At 44.2% G+C, this 13,155-nt stretch overlaps 2 annotated features.

Moving 5' to 3' along the window:
* Positions 408–931: an enhancer, noted in NCBI's record as "NANOG-H3K27ac hESC enhancer chr13:32181955-32182478 (GRCh37/hg19 assembly coordinates)". NCBI's record gives its function as "activates a minimal SCP1, AML or CMV promoter by ChIP-STARR-seq in naive H9 embryonic stem cells {active_cell/tissue: H9 hESC(naive)}" and the evidence as "EXISTENCE:reporter gene assay evidence [ECO:0000049][PMID:30033119]".
* Positions 932–1,455: an enhancer, noted in NCBI's record as "H3K27ac-H3K4me1 hESC enhancer chr13:32182479-32183002 (GRCh37/hg19 assembly coordinates)". NCBI's record gives its function as "activates a minimal SCP1, AML or CMV promoter by ChIP-STARR-seq in naive H9 embryonic stem cells {active_cell/tissue: H9 hESC(naive)}" and the evidence as "EXISTENCE:reporter gene assay evidence [ECO:0000049][PMID:30033119]".

A 13,155-nucleotide genomic window follows, 5' to 3' on the forward strand; every position in this document is an offset into this window, starting at 1 on the left:
CGGGCTGAGTCCGAAAAGAGAGTCAGTGAAGGGAGATGGGGTGGGGCTCTTTTATAGGATTTGGGTAGATAGTGGAAAATTACAGTCAAAGGGGGTTGTTCTCCGGCTGGCAGGGGTGGGGGTCACAAGGTGCTCAGTGGGGGAGCTTTTGAGCCAGGATGAGGGAGAGAAGGAATTTCACAAGGTAATGTCATCAGTTAAGGCAGGAACCAGCCATTTTCACTTCTTTTGTGATTCTTCACTTGCTTCAGGCCATCTGGATGAATACTTGCAGGCTTGGGCTCAGAGGCCCGACACTAGTAATAAAGGGTGACTCTCTCTGTGTCCGGAATTGGTGGGTTCTTGGTCTCACTGACTTCAAGAATGAAGCCACGGACCCCCACAGTGAGTGTTACAGCTCTTAAGGTGGCGCCTCTGGAGTTTGTTCCTTCTGATGTTCAGATGTGTTCAGAGTTTCTTCCTTTTGGTGGGTTCGTGGTCTCGATGGCTCAAAAGTGAAGCTACAGACCTTTGCGGTGAGTGTTACAGCTCTTAAGGCAGCGCGTCTGGAGTTGTTCGTTCCTCCCGGTGGGCTCGTGGTCTTGCTGGGCTCAGGAGTGAAGCTGCAGATCTTCGCGGTAAGTGTTACAGCTCATAAAAGCAGCGTGGACCCAGAGTGATCAGTAGCAAGACTTATTGCAAAGAGCAAAAGAACAAAACTTCCACAGTGTGGAAGGGGCCCCGAGCAGGTTGCCACTGCCGGCTCGGGCAGCCTGCTTTTATTCTCTTATCTGGCCCCACCCACATCCTGCTGATTGGTAGAGCCAAGTGGTCTGTTTTGACAGGGCGCTGATTGGTGCGTTTACAATCCCTGAGCTAGACACAAAGGTTCTCCACGTCCCCATCAGATTACTTAGATACAGAATATCGACACAAAGGTTCTCCAAGGCCCCACCAGAGTAGCTAGATACAGTGTCAATTGGTGCACTCACAAACCCTGAGCTAGACACAGGGTGCTGATTGGTGTGTTTACAAACCTTGAGCTAGATACAGAGTGCCGACTGGTGTATTTACAATCCCTGAGCTAGACATAAAGGTTCTCCAAGGCCCCACCAGAGCAGCTAGATACAGAGTGTCAATTGGTGCACTCACAAACCCTGAGCTAGACACAGGGTGCTGATTGGTGTGTTTACAATCCCTGACCTAGACATAAAGGTTCTCCAAGGCCCCACCAGAGCAGCTAGATACAGAGTGTCGATTAGTGCACTCACAAACCTTGAGCTAGACACAGGGTGCTGATTGGTGTGTTTACAATCCCTGAGCTAGATATAAAGACTCTCCATGTCCCCACCAGACTCAGGAGCCCAGCTGGCTTCACCCAGTGGATCCCGCACCAGGGCTGCAGGTGGAGCTGCCTGCCAGTCCCCCGCCATGTGCTCGCACTCCTCAGCCCTTGGGCGGTCGATGGGACTGGGCACCGTGGAGCAGGGGGCGGCATTCGTCCGGAGGCTTGGGCTGCACAGGAACCCACGGAGGCGGGGGAAGGCTCAGGCATGGCGGGCTGCAGTCCCAAGGCCTGCCCTGCGGGAAGGCAGCTAACGCCCAGTGAGAAATCGAGTGCAGCGCCGGTGGGCTGGCACTGCTGGGGGACCCAGTACACCCTCCGCAGCCACTGGCCCGGGTGCTAAGTCCCTCATTGCCTGGGGCCAGCAGGGCTGGCCGGCTGCTTCGAGTGCAGGCCCGCCAAGCCCACACCCACCCGGAACTCCAGCTGGCCTGCAAGCGCCACACACAGCCCCGGTTCCCGCTGGCGCCTCTCCCTCCACACCTCCCTGCAAGCTGAGGGAGTGGGCTCCAGCCTTGGCCAGCCCAGTAAGGGACTCCCACAGTGCAGTGGTGGGCTGAAGGGCTCCTCAAATGCTGCCAAAGTGGGAGCCCAGGCAGCGGAGGTGCCAAGAGCAAGCGAGGGCTCTGAGGACTGCCAGCACGCTGTCACCTCTCAATCCCCCCTCTAAACAGGACACCCCAACTGCTGTTGGGAATTTGGCCGATGACAGCTCTAGCTACTTCCTGCTGGATAGGGGCGAAGAAGGGGCCCTGCAGTTGTGGTGTCCTTCAGAGGGGAACTCTCTAGGCCAGGGGAAGTGCCAGCGGGTCAGTCCAGGGGTCCTCGGTAGAAGTTGTTAGTTGAACTCATTTGGGGTTCCATTTGTAAGACCATCTGTAGCTTGATGGCCTCAATTCTAGAGGAAACAAATTTGACAAGAAGGTTAAAAATACAGGGCCCAAAGGCGAGTAACAGCAAGATGGCTGCCACATGACCTAGAAAGAGGGGAAGCCATGTTGCCCAACTCCAGAGGTTGGTATAAGAATTTGAAAGGCGTTGTCTGATTTCAGAAGCCCTTTCCTGTAAACGCCGGGCAGCATCTCATACTATCCCCTACTGGTTAGTGTAAAAACAACACTCTTCCCCTAAGAAGGTGCAGAGTCCTCCTTTCTCAGCAGTGAGGAGGTCTAGGCCTCGGCGGTTTTGGAGAGTCACTGCTGCCAAACAGTCTATTTGGGATTGTAAGGCAAGGATAGATTTTGTTATTTCTTGCAAACTGAGAGGCAGATATGGGTTGAAGATCCACATAAGTAGAATATGCCATGGCTGGGTAGATAGAAATTTACCCTGGCTTTTAAAGGAATAGGGTACACCGTTTTTTTCTTTACTACTTTCATCTCTCTCTTTCTGTCTTCGATTTCTTCTTTGTCTCTTTCTCTCTTTTTAACTCAGACACCGAGTTGTAGAAGGAAGGGCTTTATTCAGCTGGGAGCATTGGCAAGCTACTGCCTTAAAATCCGAGCTCCTCGAGTGCACAATTTCTGTCCCTTTTGAGGGCTCACAACACTAAAGATTTCACATGAAAGGGTCGTGATTGATTGAGCAATCTAGGGGATATGTGACAGGGGTTTCATGCACTGGTAGTCAGAGTGAAACAGAACAGAGCAGGGAGTTTCACAGTGTTCTTTTATACAATGCCTGAAATCTATGGGTAACATCGGGTTCTAAGTCATGAGTTGATTTTTAACTACTGGGTTTAGGCTAGGCAGGCCCAGGCCTGGTTTCGAGCCTGGCGCCGGGCTGCCCGTCTTTGGTTTTACTTCCTTGTTGTTTTTTCTTTTTTTCTTAAAACAGGTACTGAGTATAAAACCATATGAGAAGGTCTCTCTCTTCCCTCAAATTTACATTTATACATAGAGAGCAGAATATCTTGGAGGACAAGTTAGAAACATGATGTATTTTACATTTCATGTAAGGTTGCAGTTCCTTGCATAGAAACGCAAAGGAGGGAAATAGCTTCAGGCCATGGCTTCATGTTTATTTAATGTAACAATAGATAGGCTTTGCTACTTCTGAGTCCCATGAACAGGCATAGGTGCAATGAACAAGGTGTGGTTTGCTCTTGGGAACAATGAGAGGTGAACAACTTTCTTGAGAGGAAAATTCTATATTGAATCTTCTGAGTGCTTTGTGTGTGTGCATTAGCATGTGTGGTGGTATCTCATCCAATCACTAACTCTCCACAGAAGGGTCACAGGCTGTTGAATTGAGGAAATCATAGCTAAGTAGGAATTGGTGGTAGCCATAAGTCCATGTGCTTGCTCTTGGGGAAGGGGAAAAGATACCAAGAACGACTCTGCTGAAGGTTGTGAAAGGAAATCCAGTCTTTTTAGACAGAAATGAGTATTCAACAAGAAAAAGAGGATGGAATACATTTGGAATAAAGGGAAATCAAATCAAGGTAAAAGAATATGATACCTGCAACAAAGAGAAGGCGCTTTGTTAAGTTACACCTTCAGGGCTATGTATCATCAGGCATAAAGCTCTGTCTTCAAAGGTGATTAGAACTTCCAAAGAGAAAATAATATTAAAAAGAAGTGGTAGGGAGAACTTCTGTTACAGATGATGGAGGAGGAACAGATGGGTCAAGGCTGCTGGTGATTCCTGATGGATAGTTTCAGACAGTGTGCCTTGACCAGATAAGAGGCACGGAAGAACACTGGGCTCGACTTCCTCCTTTGATACATGAATAACACAAGGCCTGGAGGAGTCATATAAGGCGAATGGGACCAAAGCCTTAATCATTGCTAACTCTTCTCAACAACAGTGCTTTGGTTTCACCATGGCACTTACAAGGGAGCTATTTTTATGAGGTATCTAGCTTTGGGAAGGAATAACACATTCTATCTGCAAAATATTCCTACAGCATATAAGAAGCACAGATCGGCCAGGCGCGGTGGCTCACACCTGTAATCCCAGCACCTTGGGAGGCCGAGGCAGGTGGATCATGAGGTCAGGGGTTCGAGACCAGCCTGGCCAACACCGTGAAACCCAGTCTCTACTAAAGATACAAAAAATTAGCTGGGCGTGATGTCACGTGCCTGTAATCCCAGCTACTCGGGAGGCTGAGGCAGGAGAATCGCTTGAACCCAGGAGGCAGAGGTTGCAGTGGGCCAAGATCACGCCACTGCACTCCAACCTGGATGACAGCATGAGACTCCATCTCAAAAAAAAAAAAAAAAGAAGCACAGATCATTTACACATATTCTTTAATTTTTACAACAAACTTATGAGGGGATTACTATTATTTTATACTATACACTATACTGCTTTATACTATATTTTAATACTATTGTTATCTCCCTTTTACAAATGTGGAAACCAGGGCACAGACCAGGAGCCAGCCATAGAAAGAATTGGTTTTGTGCATCATCTTTGAGTACAAGGGGAGGTTATTTTTAAAATATTCTTGCAACATACAGAAATTAACATCTCAAAGCATTTGATCACCCCAAGGGAATCACATTTGTGAAGAATCATAGGGACCAATTACCATGATTATCAAAGTCATTTTCATTATGGTAAAGAAGCCACATTCAAACACTTTGAGAAGCAGCACAGCTTGTTTTATAGCTATATTCTTTCCTGCTTTCCTTTTCCCAGCCTGACTTCACTTTCACATTTTAGATTAAACATGAATTGTGCCCTAGGATTTCAAGCCATAAAGTGGAATGATATTTATGTATTTTCAACAAAGAGCATCCTTTTAAAATGTTACTAATTGCTAAATAGTCACATTTATATATTATAAAATTACTCAATAATAACTTCAAGTCAAAATACTTTGAAAAAAGAATAGAGGGTTTCCGCTTTAACGATATTTTTGTAATGGTGTGAAGTCTTTTAGGCAATATAAGCCCATAACCCCTTCCCCATTTACTTCCTGCTCCTATTTGAGGAAGGGGGCAGGCAAGTGTCAGCAGTAAAAATTCTGAAGAACAGACTGGAGCAGTGGGTGAGCACTAGAAGTGACATTTTTTAATCTGTATGAATCAGGTTTCTCCAGAGAAGCAGAACCAATAGGTGGATAGATAGGTAGATCTCTGTGGGTGTATATATGTATAAATAGTATATTATACATAATAGAGATTCATTATAGGGAATTGGCTCATATGGTTATGCAGGCTTAGAAGACCCAAAATCTGTAGATGGCAAGCTGGAGACCCAGGAAGGCTCATGGGATAGTCTGAGAAGCAGGAAAGCTAATGGTGTAAGTTCCAGTTCAAATCCTAGTCCAAATCCAAAGGCAGGAGAAGATTGATGTCCTAGTTTGAAGATAACCAGAGATCCCTTACTCAGCCTTTTGTTTCATTCAGGCCTTCAATGGATTGGATAAGGCCCACCCTCATTGGGGAAGGCAATCAGCTTTACTCAGCCTGCCATTTCCAGTGTTAATCTCATCAAGAAACACTCACAGACACAACCAGAATAATGTTTAAGCAAATATCTAGGCACACTGTGTCCCAGGCTAGTTGACATATTAAACATTTCTGGTTTTTTTTTTAAGGCAGAGTCTCACTCTGTTACTCAGGCTGGAGTGCAGTGGTGCCATCTCAGCTCATTGTAACCTCCACCTCCCAGGTTCAAGTGATTCTCCTGCTTCAGCCTCCTGAGCAGCTGGGATTACAGACATGGACCACCATACCTGGCTAATTTTCATATTTTTAGTAGAGATTGGGTTTTACCATGTTGGCCAGGCTCGTCTCAAACTCCTGGCCTCATGTAATCTGCCGACTTCAGCCTCCCAAAGTGCTGGGATTATAGGCGTGAGCCACCGAGCCCACTTGATACATAAAATTTACCATCACACTATTTATCTTTTCTCCATATCCATGGTAGACGTTAGCCCCCATTGAACCATGCTTTCTGGTATTCACACCCTATGTACACCCCTCTGGGCTTGACCATAGATCTAGTTTTTGCTAATAGGACATTAGCAAGTGTGGTGAATGCGGGGATTTATAAGCACTTGCACATTGGGGATTCTACTCTTGGAGCATTCCTTTTTAAAACCCCAACCACCATGCTGTCAGGAAGCTCAAGTAGCCACATGGACACACATATGTGGAGGAGAACTGAGACCTCTGGTTGAAAGTCCCAGCTGAGCTCCCATCTTGTGGCCTACACCTATTGCCAGCCATGTGAGTGAGGTCATTTGGACCTTCCAGTCACTCCGAAACCCCAGTTGATACCATAATGTGCAGAAGAACCAACCAGTCAATTCACAGAATCCTGAGAAAGAATAAATTGTTTTTGTTAAGCCACTGAGTTTTGGGCTTGTTTGTTACACATCAGTAGATAACCGAAACAAGCCTTCTGCACTCTGCTAGTTCAGAAACTGATCAGTTTCCTTCTAGGTTACTGTCGTCACCTTGGAAATAACTCCCTACATTCAACCACTCCATTGTATACTCTAAACTCTGCCCAGAGCGATCTTTCTTGAAACCATCAGTGCCTCCTCAGGGCCTGTAAGATAAAGCCTGGTCCAAAACCTGGAACATGAAGATTAGGATAATCTGGCCCTTACTGATATCTCCAGTTCAGCCTATTACTTTACTCCAGCTCTCACATGCTACCAAGGCCCAGGCTCTCTTGAGCCAACCTCCCCACTTCCACCTCTTTGCCCTTCAGGTAGAAAGGGCAAAGAGGGTTCAGGTGGAGGGGTCCTGCTAACCCCTCTGTGCCCTTCAGGACCCAGCCCCCATGAAACTCTCCAGGATCCTTTAGCACTCTGCCTACCTCTATTATAGCACTTACCTACTGTACTGCAATTGTCTCCTTTTTTATCTCTTCACACCCTATGTACACCCCGCTCCCGGCTGATCTGTGCTTCTTACATGCTATAAGAATATTTTGCAGATAGAAATGTGTTATTCCTTCCCAAAGCTAGATACCCCATAAAAATAGCTCCCTCGTGAGTGCCATGGTGAAACTCACTCAACAGTACTGTTGAGAAGAGTTAGCAATGATTAAGGCTTTGGTCCCACTCGCCTTATGTACAGTTAGATTGTAGATGATTTGAGGACATGGAATTGATATTTCATTTCTATATTCAGCACTGGCCACTGTGCTTGGAACATTGTAGGTGCCCAGAATGTGTTTGCTGAATGGGTTTTATTTACTCCACTCTATGATCATTCCAAGATAACACTGTTTATTTTTCCCAGCCTTATCCTTACTCCCACATGCAGGATGGATGGGGAAGCTGATGGCTCTAAGTAGAATGATTTGACCAAGGTGACATCTTATGTTCTAGAATAATATCATATGGGTCCCAGAAAATCAAGTTTACCCAGATTTCAAAAAAGAAAGCCAAGATTCAAATGTGGGAATGTTGTTACAGACAAGAGTTTAGAACTTCACTAACTCCAGCACATTCTCCAGGATTCATGTCATGGTGCACTTCCTCTGAGACCCCATCCCTTAATCACATGGGTTAGATTACACATGGGTTAGATTCAAAGGCTTTTCTCCATGTTCTCACAAGACTGTTTATTCTTTGCTTAACATTGTATGGTAATTGTCTGTTAATTCGTTTTTCTGTCCTCATTTGCCATTAGACTTGGGTTCCTTGAATGAAAGAACTATATCTCAGTCATATCTCAGGGGTCTAGCACAATGTTGACAAATCATATATGTTCATGAAATATTTGCTATATTAGCGAATGAATGAATCAAGAGAAAGAGACTCAGTGAAAGCAGGCTGAGATTAAATGGGATTAGAGAGGGAGCACAATGAGTCAAAATGCTTTCTTGAATACAAGCTGATATTTGTGACTTCCTTCCCGGGTACATTGTATATCAGCCTAGCTTAATAACCAGAGGGGAGATGGGCAACTCATCCCAGGTTTGGGACCTCACCAATTCTCCCAGTGAAATTCCTTAATGCGCTCTTGTGGCTTCCAAATTTATTTCAGCCCCAAATTATCACAATGACGCTCAATATGCAAAATGAATGAAAGCAGATTTTTCTGGTTGAAGTGGGTCAGAGGACTGAGACTCCACCCATTGGCCCTTTTCTGCTATCAGCCCACTTCTTCCTCCCCCTTCCAATTCAGCAGCACCCAAAGGTGCTTCACAGAAGCCTAGTTTTCAAACCACTCTCCTAAAGCTTTCTTAAGACATGAATGAAGGTGCCATGACTGCTTTTCTGGTCCATTTTCTCTAATGGCAGTGAGCATTGGAGCTGATGGTAGGCATGCAGCACAGAGCAGGTGGTCTAATGACTTCTTTGGCCAATTTATATAAGATTGTTCCATCTCTTCTCCATCCTTGCTTCATTTTATGTCCTCTCAGCTCAGCTTTCTCTTCAGCCATTGCTATAGCCAATAGCTTCATGCAAATGTAGCAAGGCAAGACCTCCCCAGCTGCACTGCATATCTCTTGCTTTCTGTCTCTGGGCTTCTCTCCAGCTCCAGCCTATGAGAGTCCACTCAGCCATCACATGCTCAAACCTGGAACCAAATCAGGAAAACCCTTGACCCATGGAGAATAGAAGCTATGGATAAATACTGCTATCTTCTGTAATTTGGGTGAATAATTGAGGCACATTCAATGAAGTCCCTCAGAAGATCCCTATAGGGGTCCAGGTGCAGTGGCTTATGCCTGTAATCCCAGCACTTTGGGAGGCCAAGGCGGGTGGATCACCTGAGGTCAGGAGTTCAAGACCAACCTGGCCAACATGGTGAAACCCTGTCTCGACTAAAAATACAAAAATTAGCTGGGCGTATTGGCATGCGCTTGTAATCCTAGCTACTTGGAAGGCGGAGGCAGGAGAATCGCTTGAACCTGGGAGGCAGAGGTTGCAGTGAGCTGAGATTGCCCCACTTTACTCCAGCCTGCCTGGGTGACAGAGCAAGACTCCGTCTCAAAAAGAGAAAAAGATCCCATAAGGATTACGTCCCAGTCACCCATAGCAGTAATGACCACTGGGATGGGCTTTCCTCCCTCACTGTTGTATTCTTCCCAGTTGCTCAATCCTGTTTCTTGGGATCCACCTAAGACAAACTACCTACACTTATGCCATTGTCTCAGGTTGGTTGGAGTGGGGGTGGGGGTTCAACCACTTTAAGACATCTCCTTAGAGTTTTTATTTTTCTGCTTAGTACTTATCATCCCTGATATCTGTATCTATATATATATATATATATATATATATATATATATATATATATATATATTTTTTTTTTTTTTTTTTTTTTTTGAGATGGAGTCTGGCTCTGTTGCCCAGGCTGGAGTGCGGTGGTACAATTTCGGCTCACTGCAAGCTCCACCTCCCAGGTTCACGCCATTCTCCTGCCTCAGCCTCCCGAGTAGCTGGGACTACAGGCGCCCACCACTATGCCCGGCTAATTTTTTTGTATTTTTAGTAGAGACGGGGTTTCACTGTGTTAGCCAGGATGGTCTCAATCTCCTGACCTCGTGATCTGCCCGCCTTGGCCTCCCAAAGTGCTGTGATTACAGGCGTGAGCCACCATGCCCAGCCTCATCCCTGATGTATTTTATATTTATTTATGTTTATTTTTCTTCCTTACCTAGAATATAAACAACACAGGAGCTGGGACTTCATTTCTTTCAATAGTGTATTACCAATGCTTTGAATAATGCCTGGTATGTAATAAGTCTTTTAAAAATTAATCTGTTGAATCTGTGGCTATATTTCTGAATCCCTGGTTGTCAGGATAGATGTGAGTTGGACGTGTTCATCAGGAGACACATACACTTGGTAGGGGACTAGAGTCCAGTGTGGATATATGCAGGGCTAAACAAGTTCCCACTACCAGCAGATATGCAGTCTTTTGTAGACTGCAAGGCTCTCCTCACAGCAGGCAATGTGCACAAAGCACCATCCACACCACGGTTGAGACATAGCCGCCCTGCCTTACATTATGCCCATTCAACTGGTGTCACAGGAGACAGGAGACTTGGGGGTCATCTGCCCTGGACCAAACTTGAGCCAGTGAGAACAGGGGCCCCTTGTTGCAGTAAGAAGCCATGATCGGTCCCAAGCTGGGCCTCCAGCCTCTCTTGTTGAAGGGAGAACAGGACGGGACTCACCACTACTCCTGGCCATATTGGGGTTGGTTCCCACAGGCATGAGGTAGGAACAAGGATTTCTCTCCTGACAATGAGAGATGCCAGGAGGCATCTGACTGCCAGAAAGAACAGGGATGAGCTCCAAATCTGGAGGTCCAAAGAATTAAGAACTAGGATAATGAAACCGAGTAAAAGTACCCCAGAATTAAATGGGTGGTACATCTGAGTATTTGCACTAAAATATGGCTGATTGATTCTTTGGCTTTATACACTGTCAGAAGGACAGTAATCCGGCTGTAAGGACAGATGTGGGGCAGCTGCTATCAGACAGCTTAAAAACACAATGAAGAAAATAATCAGGGCTCATGATCTAAAAAATAATAGTAGATTTTGGGATAAAGAGGGCCAGTTATTTGGAACTGTAAAATGTAAGGTGACTATAATTGCACTAGGTCACTCTTGGTAAAATATTTCAGCAAATGCTGTGAAGGCTTATCTCTGGGAATAGCATTTTTAGTGCTGTGTTTAGAGAGACTGCTGGGCTGGTAACAGCGCTAACTCTTCATGGTTAGGGGCATTTAAAATAATTTAGAGGGTTTTGTCTCAAAATAGCCTAGAAAACTGGCTAAAAATGCAAACTGCAGGACTTCATCCCAGCAAGATTCTGAGCAAATGAGGATCTGTACTTTAATCTAACACCCCAGGCAATTCTGATACAAGGCCAGTCAATACCACACTTGAAAAACACTGGTTTAATACTTAGCATGATCTTCTGGCTCAAGAGCTTTTGGAACTCATTGACATTTGAGAGGCATACACCACTAAATAATTCCATATCCCTATGTCCCCCAAACTCAATCACCTTTTTCATGCAGCTGGAGTAACATGGTTTTACTTTACATTCTTTGTCCGGAACATCTCACTTATATTTTGGAACAGACTGTGGAAGAGGGAATTCATTTCTCGTCTGATCAGCTGAGAATGAGATATATAACTGTCCAGTTGCCTCAAACCTTTCTAGAAAGGTCTGAAAATTATGTATACCCACCTCTCCCCACGCCCATTAAAAATACATTAAAAGATCTTTTCAGGTTTTTAATACTTTTAATGGGTAACTGGACGTAAAGACATCAGTAGAGAATGCAAAATTAAGAAACTTGTGCAGAATCCTGTGCTTTGGGTTTGTTTACAAGAAAGAGATGAAAGTTGAAAGGAAGCAGAGAGGGCTACATCACTGCCACACAAAGATAGACCCCAGGCCTGTGTGTCCCCTGCAGACAGCATTTCAACTCACATAAGCAGGTTTCTGGGCAACTGTATGTTCTTCTTTCAGACAACTTTCTAGTGGCATATGATCTTTTGTGATCTACTTTTTCATCCTTTCTCCTGTCTACCAGAACAACCATTAAGAAATCTGGGCTCTGCACCAACTCTAATAATGGTGGGGCAGAACTTTATAGCGAAACTTTAGTCCGGGAGAATGGAGAGTTGAAGTCTTTTTTCACTTCTATAAGGACATCAGTGATAGAAGCCACTCTGGAAATAAGCATTGTGTTCAGTTTCAATCATAATATTTTATTTAGAGGATAATATTTAAGAAGAATAGTGACAAACTAAAGAGAAGGATGAGAGATTCTTAGAAATCTTTTAAAAATGGGAAATATCTGAGAAAGCAGAGTTGCATTTGCACATTTAATTTTTCAAAATATATTATAAACTACAATATTTCAAGAATTCTGAGCTGGGCGTGGTGGCTCACGCCTGTAATTCCAGCACTTTGGGAGGCTGAGGTGGGTGGATCACCTGAGGTAGGGAGTTCAAGACCAGCCTGACCCACATGGAGAAACCCTGTCTCTACTAAAAACACAAAAAATTAGCCAGGTGTGGTGGTGCATGCCTGTAATCCCAGCTACTCAGGAGGCTGAGGCAGGAGAATCGCTTTAACCCTGGAGGCGGAGGTTGCAGTGAGCTGAGATCATGCTATTGTACTCCAGCCTAGGCAACAAGAGTGAAACTCTGTCTCAAAAAAAAAAAAGAATTCTGAGATGCACATCTTTTCATGTTTTAACAACTCTGAAGCCATCCAAACAGCAATGACTCAGATTAAAAGGTAGCACAGTACCAATATCATTGAAAACTCCTGGTGTGTCTACTGAGTCACATTCCACTCTCTTACCTTCCTGAGGTGACCATTACCTATAGTTTTACACTTGTCATTGCATTCGTTTTTACTATAATTACATTTTATATGTATGTATCTTTACTAAGACATTAGTTATATTTTCATGTTCTTGAGATTTTATAATTGATATTGTACCATAGTTTAAATTTCATTCAACTCATTTCTGAGATTTATGAATGTTATATATGATTTAATCATTTTCATTACTGCTCAGTATTCCACTATATGAAGGTACCAAATTTATCAATTTTCTATCTAGGACACTTGGGTTACTTCCAGGGTTTTTTTTTTTTTTTTGTCACTATAAACAACACTGGAGTAAACCTTGTACATGTTAAAACCTATTGATTTATAGAAGATTTATAGGTTCTGGACACGATCACTTGTGTTATGTATGCCACAAAGATCTTCTAGTTTATGGGTTGTATTTGTTCCTTTCTTTATTGTATCATTCTTCAAGATTTATTGTATTTTTAATTGACATAACTATAGATATATATGGGAAACAATCTATTGTTTTAATACGTGTTCATTGTATTACGATCAAATCCAGCTAATTTTAGCAAACCTA

This window comes from Homo sapiens, chromosome 13, assembly GCF_000001405.40.
Source record: "Homo sapiens chromosome 13, GRCh38.p14 Primary Assembly".
NCBI classification, from domain to species: domain Eukaryota; kingdom Metazoa; phylum Chordata; class Mammalia; order Primates; family Hominidae; genus Homo; species Homo sapiens.